General features: G+C 44.4%; 1 protein-coding gene and 1 long non-coding RNA gene across 15 annotated transcripts in view, besides 1 other annotated feature; both read right to left on the bottom strand.

Moving 5' to 3' along the window:
• GARNL3 (GTPase activating Rap/RanGAP domain like 3) overlaps nucleotides 1–19,567 on the bottom strand; it is a 169,048-nt gene that overhangs the window by 6,529 nt on the left and 142,952 nt on the right. For all 14 annotated transcript variants that reach the window (NR_104591.2, XM_047423963.1, XM_011519086.4 and 11 more), the window contains 2 exons: nucleotides 3,587–3,694; nucleotides 1,987–2,105 (listed from right to left, as the gene is read on the bottom strand). Coding sequence is in view for 13 of the 14 variants with exons in the window: in XM_047423963.1 (XP_047279919.1) it covers nucleotides 1,987–2,105; nucleotides 3,587–3,694 (227 nt within the window). In the remaining variant the exon portion in view is untranslated. The remainder of the gene's footprint in view (nucleotides 1–1,986; nucleotides 2,106–3,586; nucleotides 3,695–19,567) is intronic.
• Nucleotides 1,711–2,444: an enhancer, noted in NCBI's record as "H3K27ac-H3K4me1 hESC enhancer chr9:130146967-130147700 (GRCh37/hg19 assembly coordinates)". NCBI's record gives its function as "activates a minimal SCP1, AML or CMV promoter by ChIP-STARR-seq in primed H9 embryonic stem cells {active_cell/tissue: H9 hESC(primed)}" and the evidence as "EXISTENCE:reporter gene assay evidence [ECO:0000049][PMID:30033119]".
• Nucleotides 14,593–19,062, bottom strand: LOC124902275 (uncharacterized). The gene is made up of 2 exons (XR_007061794.1): nucleotides 18,823–19,062; nucleotides 14,593–18,110 (listed from the first exon to the last, which is right to left on the bottom strand). It is a non-coding gene; the product is annotated as an uncharacterized LOC124902275 (long non-coding RNA).

The following is a 19,567-nucleotide window of genomic DNA, read 5'->3' as shown; positions in this document are numbered from 1 at the left end:
CCTCCTGCCATCACTGCAAACCCTCCAACTGGTCCCCATCCTTGGAGCATACAGTGCAGTGCGGGATGCCGGGGCGAGGGATGGAGAGAGCCTTCTGGAGGAAAGCCCAGCGTGGCTAGTTACACTTTTCCTGAGTATTCCACTCCCCGCCACTTTTCATCATCTATTTGTTGATCCACAATAGAAAACAGTCAGTGTTCCACCACACATCTTCTGCAATCACAAACACAGCACACACTTCCCTAACAGGAATCTCAGGCACCTGGAGTGTTAGAACGGGAAAGATCTTAGGGATTCAGTTAGGCCCATTTGGCAGATGGGGAAATGGATTCTTCATTCACTGATCCAGCAGATACTCAGGCACACCCGTGATGCGCTGGCGCTGCTGCTAACAGCAGTGGTGTGCTGGATGTGATCTATGAAATCCAATTTTCAGGAATTTTGCAAACTGGCTGTTAAACACACATGATTAGAAATTAAATTATACAAACCTAAAAAAACAAAGGCCCTAAATATCCAAATCCAGCCATTCCTAATTATTTGACTGTGCTTACTATTACATCTGCTCTGGAGTTATTGACACCAACAGTGTCTGTGTGGGGCTTGGGGGAGAGATACTGCACCATGGGGGATAATGCACGTCTCCCCAGCACCACCTGCAGTGGCGTCACGCTGGCAGCTTGAAATCAATCATGCAGGGACTCTTTACACCATGGAATCCAGCAAAGACTATCAGTTTGACTTTGATTTGTTGTTTTGTTGATTGTCTAGACTTACAGTGATGGAGAAAGTACTAGTAATGAACAAGAAACGTAGAAGTGTGTTTAGTCTGGTACAGAAGCTGAAAGAAGTTTCAGTTTAATGACTATGAGTTGTATGAGGGTGAAAAATAGTTTTATAGCAGATTACCTATCAGATTAAATGACAATATACATTGGAAAAAAATGAGTGGATTGAGATATAACTCCAAGTGTAAAATCATGGTTGAACTGCAACTGTAGGTTGGCTATGGATACAAGAGTTCAGCAAATATTAACAAAAACATTTTGTAAGAACCAATTGGCTAAGTGGATTTTTATGATAAACAGCATTGTATATTTATTATTTGTAAATTGTAAGCTATTTACAATCAACTAATGTACACGCATATGATACATACATGCAGATATGTACACATATCATACATATATGCACATATGTGCACACACACACATTTTCCAGAGCACTGCGGGACTGAAGCATTGAGCACACCACTGGTACTATGATGGTAAGACAGCATGGCATCTGCTCTCACAGAACCATCAGTGCAGCAGCAAAGATGAACAAATAGGCAGTCACCTACCACCAAATGTGATGGATGTCAGGACCAGGGAAGGGAACAGGGGACACAGCGGGGGAGCCAGCCCAGTCTGGCAGGGCTGGGGAGGACTTTGTGGGCCTGACTCAGGGGAGGGGACTAGAACAAGACCCCCCAGATTATATGCCAGCGACAAAAGACATCTTGGAAGGCATCTTTGTTCCTGCATCCCTCCGTTTTGCCCTAGCTGTGGGTTATGAGGCAGGGATTAATCAATTAGCCATGTTTCATAGGCTAAGAATTCAAACTGAGGATAGAGGGTGGGAAAGGAAGAAAGATTGCAAGCTCTGACTTTTCTAGACTTGGACTGTCCTCCAGGGCAGCAGTGACATGAATAACTGACCCAGTCTCTGAGCGGGGATATCTCTTTTCAGCTAAGTGCTCCCCAGCTGCCACCAGCACCAGTTAATGACTATTAACAAAGCTGAGGAGTGTTCTGAAAGCCCACAGAAATCACACATGAAAACCCAACAGATCAGTCTGGTTTCAGGCTTTCCATCTCGTGCTGGCATTCTGACACCGGTCTTCATCAGCCTAACTTGACAAGAGGCGGCTTCTGTGCTCACCTGAAATCCCACAGTGCCGGGGTCCCCCAAACCACTCAGAGATAAAATCCCAGTCCTACTCACCCTGGAGGCCACCAGCTGCAGCTGCGGCACGACTGCAGTGTGGACCAGGTTCCCGTTCACCACCAGGCGGATCTCCATGGAGTCGGTGGTGAAGGCCAGGAGATACGGGAAAGCACAGACTGCAAGGGAACGGGAGTGTCACCTCCCAGCTGCTGGCTTGGTGGCCGCGAAGGGGCTGTGACTGTGTCATAGTCACACTCACTTCTCTAGAAACTTCCATCTCTCATTCCTCTGGCTGCTTCTCTCCTTCCTTCACATGTGCAAGTCACCCTGATCCTAAGGTAGCCTGGGTTCCCAAGACAGCCTCCCCTCGGTTGCCACACTGCGCCTCCCAGGAGGTGTGCACTGTCACCATGCTTGCTGCCATTTTCCCCCATGGAAACCCCACTGCCTGATCTTCCAGCGAGGCAGCTCACTTGCCATAGTCCTGTGGGGAGTCCCTTCTGTTGTTCAGACGCCAGCCTGACATTCTGTCTGCAGGCCCAGGCCATCCTGCCTGGGACCCTTCCCTTTGGTCGCTCTTCAAGGCCCAGCCCTGGTGTCCCTCAGTGCTCCTCGCTCCTCCCATGTGCTCCTCCAGCTGCACGTCTGAGCCGGGGCTGCATCTTATTCCTCACTGGCCCTCGCAGTGTCCCTCGGCATCAAGGGGTTTGCTGAGTTATTTGTTAAGGGCTGGCCCCTCTGCTTGAAATGATTTGGATGACACACTGGCTTCCAGGCACTGTGCCTGCCCTGGCTGCCCTGGGGCACACCTCTTTCTTCCTGGCACTTCGTGTTGTCCCCTTCTTCGCACTGGCTCTCTCTGCACTCTTTCCATGGATGAGCGCATCTGCTCTCCTGGCTTTCCTGGTGACTGTGCCTACCACATCTATGCCTCCAGCCATGACTTTCAAGCCCCTCCAGCAACGTGGTTCAAAATCTCCCTTTCCTGTCTACCAGATCTAATCTGTCATCAAGTCTAACTGGTCCTCCCAGGATCTTAGGTTGGTCCCTCTGCCTTCCTCTCAAAATGCTGTCCTGTGGACCTATTAACACACAGTTTTATTGTGAGGACAAAAGAATGAACTGGAACATTCTTGGCTCTGATCTGACTTCCAAAAGGCAATGGCCAGTTGTGGATCTTGAATCACAAACACAAAGCATCGCCGCTCATGTCCTGACATTTTAGTGGCAGGCAGGTACCTGAATTTCTATGAAACATATACCAATGGCCCTGAAAGCACTGTGCTTCTCCCCGAGGTCAGTCAGCATTTTGAGGCTGGAGACCTTACACTTGAATTTTAGAAAAAGGAAAGTGAGGCCCAGAAATGAACTGAGGTGCTGAAATGATAACCAAGTACTGAAAAATGACATTTAATTGCTCTCAAATGCATACATGCTCAGGCACTGAGAGAAACTAGGAAGAACAGTAGAAGACGATAGTCCCAAAAGGGGAACAAAAATAAAAGAAAAAGAAAAAGAACGCTGTGAATATTCATCATACGCGTATAATTTATAGCAATTTCGCAGTAAGCCAGTGATTTGCTTACATAGGATTTGCTTACAATAGTTCAGACATATCCATGAAGGAGAAAAGCATTATGATAAAGACTTTTCTTACCAATTGCATAGGGAGCCTGGTTCCAACAGAACTGGAAATCTGACGCAGAAGGTTGAACCAAAAAAGAGCCACCATTAAAGGGGCAAACCTTTTTATAGATGCAACTGTCTGCAATGAAAACAACAGCAACTCATTTTTGTTAGAGACAACACTTAGATGACTGTAATTAAAGAAATGAAAAACAGGCAACAAGAATAGTACCCTATCTGCTAGTTCTTTATAAATAGCCAGTATGAATACCGCCATGATGCTGGATACTTAGGGTCAAAGGCATTCTGAGCCAGAATAATATTACTACTACAAATAATAAGAGCTGCTGTTTTGGGAGAATTTACTATGTGCCAGGCACTGAGCTTTAAAGCCATTATCCCATTTAATCTGTAGAACTTCACAAAGTAGATACCATTATTACACTCACTTTACAGATGAGAAAATTGAGGTTAGGAGAGATGAAGTAGTTTGTCCAAAGTCTCACAAGCACTGTGTGGGGGAAGCAGGGTTTGAACACAGGTCTGCGTGACTGCAGAGCCCGTGTGCTGAATGCCTATGCCCTACTGTCTCCCACACTTGTGAACGGTCAAGAAGGGACACCTGACGGCAGCCCTTGGGTGGAGAATGCCCTCCTGCAAGGTGGATCACACCTTGAGCCTCATTCAGGACAAGGATGGTGGGAGCCAGATACCCCCTAACATTTTATTATTATTCAAGAGGACTTGAAGCCATACGCTTGTATCCTCTTGGTGAACCTCAACCAGTATTAGATTAACACAAGGTTCATTCAAGTACATTGTTCCTGGCCTGCTGCAAGCTCTAAACACAAGTCCACGTGGTTCAGACCCTCTTAGAGTGAGAAAGTCAGTGGAGAAACAAAGGCCCCATTTATTACAGAGGTCCATCACATTTTTAAAATTTAAATTAAAAAAATTTTTTTTTGGAGACAGAGTCTTGTTCTGTCACACAGGCTGGAGTGCAGTGGCATGATTACAGCTGACTGCAGCCTCCCCATCCCAGGCTAAAGTGAGCCTCCTACTTTAAATCCCCCAGTAGCTGGGGCTACAGGTGCACACCAGCACACCCAGCTAATTTTTTTTTTTCAGTAGAGACAAGGTCTATGTTGCCTAGCCTGGTTTCCAACTCCTGAGCTCAAGCAATCCTCTTGTCTCAGCCTCCCAAACCATCATGTTTTAGCCATACATTTCTTTCTCAATGAAAGATGGAGTTATTATTATTATTATTTTTAATTTTTGAGACGGAGTCTTGCTCTGTTGCCTGGACTGGAGTGCAATGGTGAGATCTCAGCTCATTGCAACCTCTGCCTCCCAGGTTCAAGCGATTCTCCTGCCTCAGCCTCCCAAGTAGCTGGGACTACAGACGCCCGCCACCATGCCCAGCTAGTTTTTGCATTTTTAGTAGAGGTGGGGTTTCTCCATTTGGCCAGGCTGGTGTCGAACTCCTGACCTCAAGTGATCCACTCGCCCCAGCCTCCCACAGTGCTGGGATTACAGGCATGAGCCACCGAGCTGGCCTGAATTTTTATTAACATCATAAAGAATGGATGTTACTAAACATCTGAATGTTAATTATTGACACACAACAACAGGGATGACTCACAGACATAATATTGAGCAAAAAAAGAAAAGCGGCCAGGTGCAGTGGCTCACGCTTGTAATCCTGGCACTTTGTGAGTCCCAGGCGGGAGGATCACAAGGTCAGGAGATCGAGACCATCCTGGCTAACACGGTGAAACTCCGTCTCTACTAAAAATACAAAAAAAAAAAAAAATTAGCCGGGCGTGGTGGCGGGCGCCTGTAGTCCCAGCTACTCAGGAGGCTGAGGCAGGAGAATGGTGTGAACCCGGGAGGCGGAGCTTGCAGTGAGCCGAGATCACGCCACTGCACTCCAGCCTGGGTGACACAGCGAGACTCCATCTCAAAAAAGAAAAGAAAAGAAAAGAAAAGCTAGAAGCTAGATATCTGAGTACATACTGTATAATTTCATTCGTTTAAATGTTTAAAACTGTCTACAGAGGGTAGAGGTAAAGATGGTAGTGTTACTCTGAGAAGAGATAATGACATGTAGGACCAGTATCTTGGATTCTGCTAATGCATTTTAGTTCACAAAATGTCCCCACCTACATTTTAGAATCACATTTCTAATTTCTGAAAAAAAAAGGAATAAAAAATGATATAATTAGCAACTTGATGAGTCTGTAGATATAGAGTTTTGTTGCAATTGGGTCTTGGCTGTATTAGTATGTTTACTGTTTGAAAAATAATGAAACCAATTTTATTTTTTAATTATTAAAAATAACAGCTTTACTGAGATCATTTATAGACCACAAAATTCATCCATTAAAAAGGTACAATTCGGGCAGGTGTAGTGGCTCTCGCCTGTAATCCCAGCACTTTTGGGAAGCCGAGGTGGGCGGATCACGAGGTCAGGAGATCGAGGCCATCCTGGCCAACATGGTGAAACTCTATCTCTACCAAAAATACAAAAATCAGCTGGGCGTGGTGGCGCATGCCTGTAATCCCAGCTATTCGGGAGGCTGAGGCAGGAGAATCACTTGAACCCGGGGGGTAGAGGTTGCAGTGAGCCAAGATCACGCCACTGCACTCCAGCCTGGTGACAAAGCTAGACTGTCTCAAAAAAATAAAATAAAATGTACAATTCAATGAATTTTAGCATATTTACAGGGTTGTCTAACATCATCATGATCTAATTTTAGAACTCTCATCATCCTAAAATGAAACCTCACTCCCCATTTCTTCCCCTAGCCCTGGTCAACCACTTATTTGCTTCTGTGTCTGTGGACTTGCCTTTTCCGGACATTTCATATAAATTGCATCATGCAACATGTGGCCTTTTGTGTCTGGCTTCTTTGACTGAGCTCGATGTTTTCGAGGCTCACCCATGTGTCAGTGCATCATTCCTTTTTATGGCCAAATAATATTCCACTGTATGAATAGCCTACATTTTGTTGATCTACTTACCATTTGATGGGCATTTGGGTTGTTTCTGCTTTTTGCTATTGTTAATAAAGATGCTATGAACATTCCTGTACAAGTCTGCATGGACATATATTCATTTCTCTTGTATAGATTGCTGGGTTATATGTAAGTCACATGATTTTATTTTATTCAGAATGTTATTTACTGTTAAATACTTTGTATCTATATCTACATCTTTATGAGCTTTGTTATTTTTTTCTGTGTTTTGTTGTAGAATATTTGAGGAACAAAGAAAAACATAAAGAAGAAAATTTTAAAAATCATCTGCAACCTTATGTCCCAGGGAGAAATACTGACACACACACACACACACACACACACACACACACACACATATTTTTTGAGACAGAGTCTTGCTCTATCACCCAGGCTGGAGTGCGGTGGCGCGATTTTGGCTCACTGCAACCTATGCCTCTTGGGTTCTGCCTCTTGGGTTCAAGCAATTCTCCTGCCTCAGCCTCCCGAGTAGCTGGGACTAAGGCGTGCCCCACCACGCCTGGCTAATTTTTTTATTTTTGGTAGAGATGGGGTTTCACCATGTTGGCCAGGCTGGTCTCGAACTCCTGACCACAAGTGATCCACCCGCTTTGGCCTCCCAAAGCGCTGGGATTACAAGTGTGAGCCACCGCACCCGGCCAGTACTGATAGCATTTTGGTATTTCTCCTTCAAGTATTTTTATTCAGAATGAATAAGCAAGATAAATGTTATAAAGAAAAACAGAATTGGACTTTAACATATAATTTGCTTTCTTCACTATATTGTATATTTTCTTCTATGCATTTTTCAAGAACATAACTTTAACTCACTGTATGGCACTTCAGTATTTGAATGTAACAAAACATCTTTACCAGTTTCCTCCTGTTTCCATTTAGTTTCCAAAGCTTTCTGCTTTATAAATGATGTTGTAACAGACAATCAAGAACTCATTATTCACAGTTTGCTGATTATGTCTTAAAATAATTGCCTGTGAGTACACAGGCTGTGTCCATTAAAAATCACATCCTGCCAACTTCTTCCCCAGAAGGCTGTACCATCTAGACCACTTCTAGCAGTGCAGAGAGAGGGTGCCAGAATCCATGACTCTGACAGTCTCAGCCAGTCTGAGTGACCAAATAATTACAATGATAATTTGCATATTAAAATTCTCAGTGGGGCACAGTTTTTCCCATGATGTTAAAATAATTGCAAGGCCATTAGAACGAGGTGGTCCCAGTGCTGTGAGTTCCTACATAAGCAAACCAAAACCCAACTCAGTGTAAAAGGTCATATTCTAGGAGCCAACCAGAAACAGTCAACTAACCTCTAACCAAGGACTTTCCATTGGAATGAGCCAAGTAAAGCTACTGCTCCATTTTAGCAAATCAAATACTTGCTTTGCTTTGCTTCTGCATTCACCCTATAAAAGCCTCCCTTTGTTCCCTCAGGTTTGGAGCTGCCTGATTAATAAATCACTGTTGTCCGGGCTCAGTGGCTCACACCTGTAATCTCAGCACTTTGGGAGGCCAAGGCGGGCAGATCACTTGAGGTCAGGAGTTTGAGACCAGCCTGGCCACCATGGTGAAACCCCATCTCCACTAAAAATACAAAAAAATTAGCCGGACCTAGTGGTGGGGACCTGTAATCCCAGCTACTCGGGAGGCTGAGGTGGGAGAATCACTTGGACTTGGGAGGCGGAGGTTGCAGTGAGCTGAGATGGCACCACTGCACTCCAGCCTGGGCTATAAAGTGAGACTCCATCTCAAAACAAACAAACAAACAAACAAACAAAAAATATATATATAAAAATCACTGCTCAAACTCTTAAAAATTTTAATGTGTCAAAATTTATCTTTTAACAATGCTTATTGGGTAACTGGATTTCTTTCTTTTGTAAATTATCTGCTCATATCCTTCTCTCATATTTTAATGGGTGCTCATGCCTTTATCTGTTTTTTTTTTTTTTTTTTGTGACGGAGTTTCACTCTTGTTGCCTAGGCTGAAATGCAATGGCACGATCTCGGCTCACCACAACCTCCGCCTCCTGGGTTCAAGCGATTCTCCTGCCTAAGCCTCCCGAATAGCTGGGATTACAGGCACGGGCCACCAAGCCCAGTTGATTTTTATATTTTTAGTAGAGACGGGGTTTCTCCAAGTTGGCCAGGCTGGTCTTGAACTCCCGACCTCAGGTGATCTGCCCTCTTGGCCTCCCAAAGTGCTGGGATTACAGGCGTGACCATGGTGCCCAGCCGTCTTTATCTTTTTGATATGTAAGATCTCTTTTTATGTTAATGATTTTTTTTTTTTTTTTTTTGAGACAGAGTCTTGCTTTGTTGCCCAGGCTGGAGTGCAGTGGCACGAGAATCTTGGCTCATTGCATCCTGTGCCTCCCTGGTTCAAGCAATTCTTGTGCCTTGGCCTCCTGAGTAGCTGGGATTACAAGCATGTGCCACCATGCCTGGCTAATTTTTTGTATTTTTAGTAGAGACTGGGTTTACCATGTTGGCCAGACTGGTCTCGAACTCCTGAGCTCAAGTGATCTGTCCGACTTGGTTTCCCAAAGTGCTGGGATTACTGGTGTGAGCCACCGTGCCCAGCCTATACTAATGATATTGGCCCTTTTGGAAACTCACACATATTTTCCCCAGTTTGCTGTTTCTCTTTTAATTTTATGGTTCTTTTTGGCATAGAAATTTTAAGTTTTGTGTAATCAGATCTTTCAAACTTTGTTCATGGATTCTGCATTTTTTTTTTTTTTTTTTTTTGAGACGGAGTCTGGTTCTTTTGCCCAGGCTGGACTGGTGTGCAATGGCACGATCTCAGCTTACTGCAACCTCTGCCCCACTGAGTTCAAGCGATTCCCCTGCCTCAGCCTCCCAAGTAGCTGGGATTACAGGCACATGCCACCACGCCCGGCTAATTTTTGTATTTTTAATAGAGATAGGGTCTCACCATGTTGGCCAGTCTGGTCTCGAACTCCTGACCTCAAGTGATCTGCCCGCCTTAGCCTCCCAAAGTGCTGGGATTACGGGTGTGAGCCACCCCTCCTGGCCGGCTTCTGCTTTAATGTCATCCTTATAAAGGCTCTCTCCACCGCTAAGACTTGGTACACAGTGGTCCATGTTTTCTTTTATAAATTTCAGACACTGACTTTTTATATTTCACTTTTAATTTATTTAGAACTAAAAACAGAGGCATACATTTACTTTTTCCAAAAGTTTGTCCAATTGTCCTAACGTTATCTTTAAAAAAATTCATCATGTCTCTACAGATTTGAAATGCTACTTTCATCGTATACATTTTATATATACTTGAGTTTATTTCTGGACTTTATTCTGTTGTATTGAGTGGCTTGTCTATTCTTGCACCAGCATCATACTGTGTTAATTATTGTAGCTTTGCAATAAATTATAATGTTAAAGAAATAATCATCCTTCATGACAAATCTTTTAAAAAATTTTTGGCAAATCACTCATCTAATCACTTAGCAGATATTTATGGAGTGCCTACTACATGCCAGGCATAAAGAGAAAAGAATTGGGATTCTGACTGGAATCACATTAATTTATTTCATCTGAGGAGAAATATACATCTTTGCAAGATGAAGTCTTCCCATTCAGTAGCATAGTATATTTGTCCATTTGTTCAAACTTTTTCTTAGATTCTACAGTGATGTTGGATTGTCCTTGTCCCAAATTCCACGAGGGTTGGAACCCTTTTGTGGAGGCTAGTTTTTAAAAAACTTTCCAATATCTTCTATACTTACTGACTCAGTCAGGTTTTCTGCCATTTTTTAGGACAATTTTAAGAATTTATTTTCAACTACAAAATTGTTCTTCTTACCTAGATTTCAAAACTTACCATATTTCATTGAATCTAGGATGTCACTGAATAAAAGATGTACTGTTTTTCTGGCAAAAGTAATAAGACATCCTTTAAAACGTCCCATAAAAAAGAAAGAAAGAAAGAAAGAAAGAAAGCTGTCCACTATAATTATAAGATGCATGCTAAATTCAGAGACGTTAAAATGTTAAGAGGCTGGCCCAGCACGGTGACTCATGCCTGTAATCTCAGCACTCTGGGAGGCCGAGGCGGGCGGATCACTAGGTCAGGAGATCGAGACCATCCTGGCTAACACGGTGAAACCCCGTCTCCACTAAAAATACAAAAAATTAGCCGGGCAAGGTGGCAGGCGCCTGTAGTCCCAGCTACTCGGGAAGCTGAGGCAGGAGAATGGCGTGAACTCGGGGTGCGGAGCCTGCAGTAAGCGAGACTGTCTCAAAAAAAAAATGTTAAGAGGCTGGGTGCAGTGGCTCACGCCTCTAATCCCAGCATTTTGGGAGGCCGAGGCAGGTGGATCACTTGAGGTCAGGAGTTCGAGACCAGCCTGGCTGACATGGTGAAACCCTGTCTTTACCAAAAATACAAAAATTAGCTGGGCGTGGTGGTGTGTGCCTGTAATCCCAGCCTACTTGGGAGGCTGAGGCATGAGAATCGCTTGAACCCAGAAGCAGGGGTTGCAGTGAGCCAAGATCACGCCACTATACTCCAGCCTGGGTGACAGAGTAAGACTCTGTCTCACAAACAAACAAAAAAAGATGTCATTGGAGGTTACAGTCATCAGAAGGCTTGACTTGGGTCTGCTTCCAAGATGGTGCACTCACATGCTTCTTGGCAGAGGACTTAGTTCCTCACCACAAGGACCTCTCCCCTGGGCTGCTTGAGTGTCCTCAGGACATCACAGCTGGCTTCTCCAGAGTGAGTGACACAAGAAGGAACCATAAGGCAGTCGCAATGCCTTTTTTGACCTAGTCTTAGAAGTTGCATACCTTCACTTCTACGATATTCTGTTTGGTAGACAGGAATCACTAAGTCCAGCCTGCCTACAAAGGAAGAGGAATGATCTTCACCTCTTGAGGGAAGAAGTATCAAGGAACTTGTGGACATATTTTAAAACCTCCACAATGGACATTTGTGTTGTTTTCAGTTTTGGGCTAATACAAATAATGCTGCTATGAATATTTGGATACAAATCTTTGTGGGGACATACATATGCTTTCATTTCTTTCTTTTCTTTTTTTTTTTTTTTTCTGAGACAGAGTCTTGCTCTGTCACCCAGGCTGGAGTGCAACGGCGCGATCTTGGCTCACTGCAACCTCTGCCTCCCGGGTTCCAGCAATTCTCCTGCCTCAGCCTCCTGAGTAGCTAGAATTACAGGTGCCTGCCACCGCGCCTGGCTAATTTTTTTTGTATTTTCAGTAGAGACAGGGTTTCACCATGTTGACCAGGCTGGTCTTGAACTCCTAACCTTAGGTGATCTGCCTGCCTTGGCCTCTCAAAGTGCTGAGATTACAGGTGTGAGCCACCGCACCCAGCCTGTGCTTTTATTTCTTTTGCATCCATTCCTAGAAGTGGAACGGCTGGGCCATATGGTGAGCGAATGTTTAACTTTTTGAAGAACTGTTTTCCAAAGTGATTATACCAATTTACATTTCCACCAGCCACACATGAGAAAGCCATTTTCTTCACATCCTTACCAACACTGATTACGAGCAATCGTTTTCATTTTAGCCATTTAATAGTTGTGTGGTGGTATCTCATTATAGTTTTTTAAAAAAGTTTTTCTTTGTTGTTTTTTTTTTTTTTTTGTAGAGATGGAGTCTCATGATACTGCCCAGGCTAATCTTGAACTCTGGCCTCAAGTGTTCCTCCCATCTCAGCCTCCCAAAGTGTTGGGATTACAGGTGTAAGCCACTTTGTCCAGCCCTCATTGTGGTTTTGATTTGCATTGCCCTAATAGCTAATGATATTGAACACCTTTTCATGTGCTTATTTACCATCCATAAATCTTCTCTGATGGACTACCTCATCAAGTGTTTTGCCCTCTTTTTAACTGGGTTATTTTCTTATCATTGAGAGTTCTTTATATTTTCCCTTTACCAGTCCTGTATGAGATAGGTGATTTGCAAATATTTTCTCTGTCTGTGCCTTGCCTTTTCATTTGCTTGTGTTTTTCAAGGAAGTTCTTAGTTTTGATGAAGTTCAATTTATTAATTTTTTCTTTTATGGATTATGCTTTTGATGCAATATCTAAGAAACTTTTGCCAATCCAAGCTCATAAATATCTTCTATGCTTTCTTGTAGAAGTTTTTATTAGGTTTTAGGTTTTTCATGTAGTTTTATGATCCATTTTGAATGAATTTTTAAATCTGATGTGAGAGGAGTCTTTCCTTTTTTTTTTTCTTTTTGTTTTTTTGAGACAGAGTTTTGCTCTTGTTGCCCAGGCTGGAGCGCAATGGCGCAATCTCAGCTCACTGCAGCCTCCGCCTCCTGGGTTCAAGTGATTCTCCTGCCTCAGCCTCCCAATTAGCTGGGATTACAGGCATGAGCCACCACGCCTGGCTAATTTTTTGTATTTAGTAGAGGCGAGGTTTTACCATGTTGGTCAGGCTGCTCTCGAACTCCTGACCTCAGGTGATCCACCCACCTCGGCCTCCTAAAGTGCCTGGATTACAGGCGTGAAGCACCGCACCCAGCCTCCTTTTTTTTTTTGAGACGGAGTCTCACTCTGTCACCCAGGCTGGAGTGCAGTAGCCTGATCTTGGCTCACTGCAGTCTCCGCCTCTTGGGTTCAGGTGATTCTTGTGCCTCGGTCTCCCAAGTAGCTGGGATTGCAGGTGTGCACTACCATGCCCAGCTAATTTTTTGTAATTTTAGTAGAGACAGCATTTCACCATGTTGGCCAGACTCAAGTGATCTGCCCACATCAACCTCCCAAAGTGTTGGGATTACAGGCATGAGCCATCGCGCCCAGCCAGGAGTCCTTCTAAACAGCAGCAAAATCAAAGTGGCCAATATTTTCATTCACTCTTCCACCAAGGGGGTGATGGACCATGTCTTATCTCTGCAACCTGAAAGACCTCTTTTGTACTTTTAGGCTTTGATGTTCTTTTTTTTAGAGACCAGGGTCTCACTATATTGCTCAGGCTGGTTTTGAACTCCTGGCCTCAAGAGATCCTCCTGCCTCAGCCTCCCAAAGTGCTGGGAAAACAGGCGTGAGCCATCGGACCCGGCTGATTTTATCTTTTTAAAAAGGCTGGGTGGGTGCCAGTATAACAGCATCTAGGACCAAATCACTGTAAATTATCTTGAACTCAGCCACTTAAAGTTATAGCACCACCTACACATTTAACCTATATTCCTATGTTGTTGTTTTGGTTCCCAGAGCTCATGTAGGCCACCTGATCTCAACCTAACTCACTAAAACACCCACTCTGATGCCTGTACGCTACAGCAATAGCAATACTTGAGGCTTCTTTTCAGTTCTCTAGGAAGGTCCCTGGTTCATCTGGTGGTTCGATCTTACTCACTTTAAAATTCTCTGGGACTTGCAATCTATGAGTATTTGTTTTCCCTTTCCTAGGATTTAGCTTCCCAACAAGAAGTACATTCTCTTTGTTCTAAGAAAGTAGGAAGTTTTGTTTTAGCCTGAATATTTCTTCTCTGGCTTTTGAATGACATCAGGCTCACAAATTATCTATTAGGTAACACAAAACTTTCTATGCATATTCTCAAGGACAGCCTTCAAAATTTAATTCAGCTGTAATTTTGTTCTTCATAATAATGTGGTTACAGCTAGGTAGGCCCCTGTATCTTCTGGAGTCCACCCCTGACTCCAAGCTTCCACACTGGGAAGTATATTCAAATGTTAAAATTCCCAAAAGGCAATCAACACAGAGGGTTTTCTGCAACTGGTACTTCTCTGTTTCTTGCATTATCTGGGTAGAGTTTAAAGTTTGAAGCAAAGTAGCAGATCTAATAAAAAGCCAGTTTTGAACTGTAGCATTTTGTGTTTTTGTCTCTTAATTTGATAAACACATTCCAAAGCTGTTGCCACCAGTCTGTGCAAAAAGAAGTGTGTTGTTCCTTAGTGTGTCTCAACATTCAGATAAAACATATATTACACTATGTAGAGCTAAAATTTACAAAGTAAGTAAGACCCAGGAAAACTTAAGGGGTCCCAGAGTTCTTGCATAATTTTAATTTGCCAGCATAAAAACTACTGTCCCTAAAAGATATTTTGTACAAGTCAGATATCATTATGTGGACCATTGTTTTACAAATATAGATTAAGAATACATAGTAGACTAAACACATATTATCATTATCTCCTACAGGAAACACTTCTTGTATCCTCAGCCCCACAAACACCCATAACCTCATGGCTTCTTTCTTGGTACTCTTATTCCCCTACACATCTCTTATAGCACATTGCACCAATTTGTTTATGTGTCAAGAATCCTGGGATGGGGATGGGCAAGGATAGTGTCTTCCTCCTCTAAAACAATACCTGACATATTGTACTTCTTATTTATATATTCTGAATAAATGAGTGAATGCTTTGAAGAAAAATGAATGAATGAATGAATGAATGTGAGGTATGGAACAAAGTTTTTGGTTAGCCGGGCATGGTGGCATGCACCTGTCATCCCAGCTACTCGGGAGGCTGACGCAGGAGAATCATTTGGACCCAGGAGGCGGAGGTTTCCGTGAGCCAAAATCGCGCCACTGAACTTCAGCCTGGGCAACAAGAGCTAAACTCCTTCTCAAAAAAAATTTTTTTTGCACATGTCTATCCAATTATTCTGGTATCATTTGTTAAAAAAGACTCTTATTTTGCTATTGAACTGCCTTCGCACCTTTGTCAAAAATCAATTTACCAAATATGTGTAAATCTATTTCTGGATTCTTTATTTTGTTCAATTGACCAATTTGTTTATGTAATTATATGTGATAACAAAATATATAACACATTAATGATATGTTATTATGTGACTCACTTGATTAAAAAACATTTAAAATATATTTGTCATTATGAAACCAAAAACTATGACATTGAAAATCTTGAATAAAGTCTTATGACACTTTTTCTGTAATAGCATTTTATATTCTACATAAAATTTGCCTTGAACCAAGGCACAGCTGGCAGGTAAACAGATGGGGAATGTATCCCTCAATCTTCAGCCTCTTGCTCAGAACAAGACTGGTGAGCTGCTCCCGTTGTCACCCAACACTGTGACACACACAGCCTGCACCAGTTCCTTCCGTGCTTCCCACAGAATCAGGGCACACCTTCTCCTGTCTCCAGGAATCTCTGGAAATCACATAGAGATTTCCTACGTGAAGGAAGGCAGAGGAAGGCAGAGGCTGGCTTGGGAAAGGGAGTCCTGGCTAGGGAAAGTGAGAGGATAGCATCAGGGTTCTAGGAAGCTGACTCCAGCAGCAGTGCAGAGGGGAGAGGTGGGTTGCTCTAAGACGGAGCCAAAGTCCAAGAAATTCCGTGCGTGCTACACCGACCAGGTGAGGAGTGACTGGTCCATAAAAGATAGGCCATTTGGAATGAATCTGAGCTGTGTGGGAAGACAGCTTGGAGATGGGGAGTAAAGGCAGGGAGAAGTCCATTGTGCCAACTGTGTCTCTGGCTTGGGTGATGGGTGGAAGGTGCTGCCCTTGCACTGGGGTGGGGCACATCAGAGGAGGAGCACATGTGAGGAGGAAAGATCTCGAGTTCAGGGTGGACAGGTTGAGTCCGAGGTGCCCTTGAGCTGCTGAAGTGGGCTGTACAGTAAGGAGTGTGACACATTGGTGCAGAGTTCAGCAGTGGGTCTGGACTGGAGAGACCTGGGAGTCAGCAGCAGCACACTGGCAATCAAGCTTGCAGGGGAGAATGAGCACGCCAGATGGAAAGGCGAGGACAGGGCCCTCTGGAATGCCAGCGTTTAAGGGGTGACTGGAGAAGAGACTGTGAACGGCACAGTACTGAGACAAGAGGGCCAGAGGGGCAGAAAGAAAGCAAGAAGATGGGACAGAAGCTGGGAGAGAAGGAAGTCTGAAAAGGAGAGTGGACAGCAATGTCAGAAAGGTGGGGACAGAAAAGTCTCCTTGGATAGATCTGCCTCTGATATGGCTCTCTGATACAGGGCACAGGTTTGGCTCAGTCCAGCAAAGTTTATGGACACAAGCACTGTGCCAGCTGGGTCCTGGGGTCCGGGCCAGAGAGCTGGGCCATGGTCTGGCCTTCTGGGTGTTTGTGGTTCACTGAAGGAGGCTCTCCCCTTCTTTTCATGCCATCTGCTTCCTTGTTCCCTTCTCTCTGGGCAGCACACTTTCAACGGCATCCTGTCATATGGAATCCTGTACAGTTTAACAGTTCTTTTTTTAAACTCCTGATATTTCCCACTTCCGTGGGAGAGAGAGGTGTAGAAAGCCAGAGCTTCGGATCAAGGCCTGTGCTGCGGGGCAGGAACAGGGGAGGTGACAGCGCCATCAGAAGCTCCAGAAACAAGTACCTCTCCCACCATGTCCAATCTTTTTGGAATGTCCTGGCCCATCGGGCTTAGGGACTCCTTTGATGCGACCACTGTGCCTTGTAAAACAGTTATCTTAGTGTCTTACAGTTGTGTATCTGACAGAGTGAATTAAGACAAAAAGCTAACCACAGTCAAGAGAGCCCTTACTTCCCGAGAGAACAAATGCTCCAGAGAGGACACCTTGGGCACCACTGCCACGGCTGCCTGTGGCTCTGATGCTCTCAGGTGTGGCCAATCCTTCCTCTTCCCACTGTGTCCTGATGGCTTCCACAGATGCAGGGACTTGCTCCAGCAATTCTCCCCCTCTCCCTGGCACCACTAGTCCTCCCTTCCCTATTGGAGCTTCCCCCATGGCCTTACAAACTTACTATTTATCCCACACTTCAGAAAAACAAAAAGACCCTTCCTGTAGCTATTACATCCCGCCTCTCTTTTTCCCTTAAAGCAAGTCTCTGAAGAGTCATCTGTGCTCCCAGTCTGCTTTCTCTTCTCCCACCGCCTCACAACCCCTGTGAAAAAGTGCTCCCCCTGCTTTCCAGAGACGCCCGCTCTTGTCTTCCAAATGACCTCCACCTCGCTGGGTCCAAGGGTCCCTCTCAGACAGGCCTCGCCTGCTCTGGCAGGGGCACAGGTGGGGACGCCCTCCTTCCTGCAGGCTCCTGGTAATCCCTGCCTTTCCGGGCACTCTTCCTCAGTCTACTTTGCTGGTGCCTCTGTCTCTCCCTTCCCTTTGGTAATTTCTTTAGTTTCATGACTTTAAACATCATTTATATGCTAATGAAAGAGTTCCAGGCACAGCTCTTTCTTGAGTGCCTTGGACTTGCACATCCAGGTCACTGGGCATCTCCACGGGGGTACAGGAAGGCACTGATGGGTCCAGGCTGGACTCTTGAGCTTTTCCTCAAACTTGCTCTTGGCCGAGCTTTCCTCATTCAGGAAGCCGTATTCTCCATTCTCCCAGCTGCTCAGGCTCCAAACTGCAGAGTCTTCCTTTTTTTTTCTTCTTCCTCTCACATCCCAAATTTGATTAATCAGCAAATTAGCTTGGTTCTTTTTTTTTTTTTTTTTTAACTGAACACCATTTAATAAAAAAGCAGTAGTGTAAACAGGAAAGCTGCACGAAGATACCGTGTTGCCGTGGAAGGCTGGTGCTTGCTGCTGGGAAGCTGAAGGCAGGGGAAGCAGCAGATTTGAGGGATGAGTACTGGATCTTGGTTCTTACATTTGAAATGTTTTTGTTTTGTTTTGTTTTGTTTTGACAGTCTTGCTCTGTCACCCAGGCTGGAGTGCAGTGGTGTGATCTCAGCTCACTGCAACCTCCACCTTCTGGGCTCAAGCGATTCTCCTGCCTCAGTCACCCCAGTAGATAGGACTACAGGCGCGCACCACCACTCCTGGCTGATTTTTGTATTTTTAGTAGAGACGGGGTTTCACCATGTTGGCTAGGCTGGTTTTGAACTCCTGACCTCAAATGATCTGCCCGCCTCAGCCTCTCAAAGTGCTGGGATTACAGGCGTGAGCCACTGCACTTGGCCCTTATATTTGAAATGCATTTCGGGGTGGGCACAGTGGTTCACGCCTGTAATCCCAGCACTTTGGGAGGCTGAGGCAGGTGGATCACCTGAGGTCAGGAGTTCGAGACCAGCCTGACCAACATGGTGAAACCCCGTCTCTAACTAAAAATACAAAATTGGCCGGGTGTGGTGCCACGTGCCTGTAATCCCAGCTACTCAGGAGGCTGAGACGGGAGAATTGCTTGAACTTGGGAGGCAGAGGTTGCAGTGAGCCGAGATTGTGCCACTGCACTCCAGCCTGGGCTACAGAGCTAGACTCTATCTGGAAAAAAAAAAAAAAAAAGAAATGTATTTTGGACCTGACCTTCTCAGCATCTCCACTGCTGTAGTTCTGGTCCCACTGCTGTCCTCTCATCAGACATACGCAGTCACCTTCTCCCTGGTCTCCCTACCCCTACCCCTTCGGCGAATGCCCCACAGCAGCCAGAGTGCTCCTCTTCAACCTTGTGGATCCCGTCGCCTCTCTGTTATTTAGGAGGCTGAGGCAGGAGAATCGCTTGAACCTGGGAGGCAGAGGTTGCAGTGAGCTGAGATCACACCACCATACTCCAGCCTAGGCAACAAGAGCGAAACTCCACCTCAAAAAAAAAAAAAAAAAAAAAAAAGAAAGTCTATGAAGGTTAAAAAACTGAGTTCTGAATAAATACTCTGATGATTCTGGAATAAATAGTGGGAAAATAAAATCCTGTCATGTCAGGCAATGTGTTGTGGGCTTTACATGTATCATCCTGCTTAGTACTTACAACAGTTGTTAAGAAGCAGGTTTTGTATTCTTACTATTACTTATCTGAAAGTGAAGACTTAGTGAGGTTAAATATGATCGCATCAAAAACAAGGGGCACTTATGCGAGCTTTTCTAGTTTTCCTGGCATGATTATCTTTAAAGCATCATCAGCAAACACAAGAGTTTGCCCTTAGCACTGAAATTACTTGCATTAAAGGTGAATGATTACTGGGTGCTAAGGGCAGAGCCAAGTTTTCTTTTTCTTTGTCTTTTTAAACAGTTAAAGACAGATTCTGGTAATAAAAATAGAGTTTAATTATTTAAA

Source organism: Homo sapiens, chromosome 9 (genome assembly GCF_000001405.40).
Source record: "Homo sapiens chromosome 9, GRCh38.p14 Primary Assembly".
Lineage (NCBI taxonomy): Eukaryota > Metazoa > Chordata > Mammalia > Primates > Hominidae > Homo > Homo sapiens.
The sequence above is the reverse complement of the archived record's forward strand: the minus strand, read 5'-3'. Positions and strand labels throughout refer to the sequence as shown.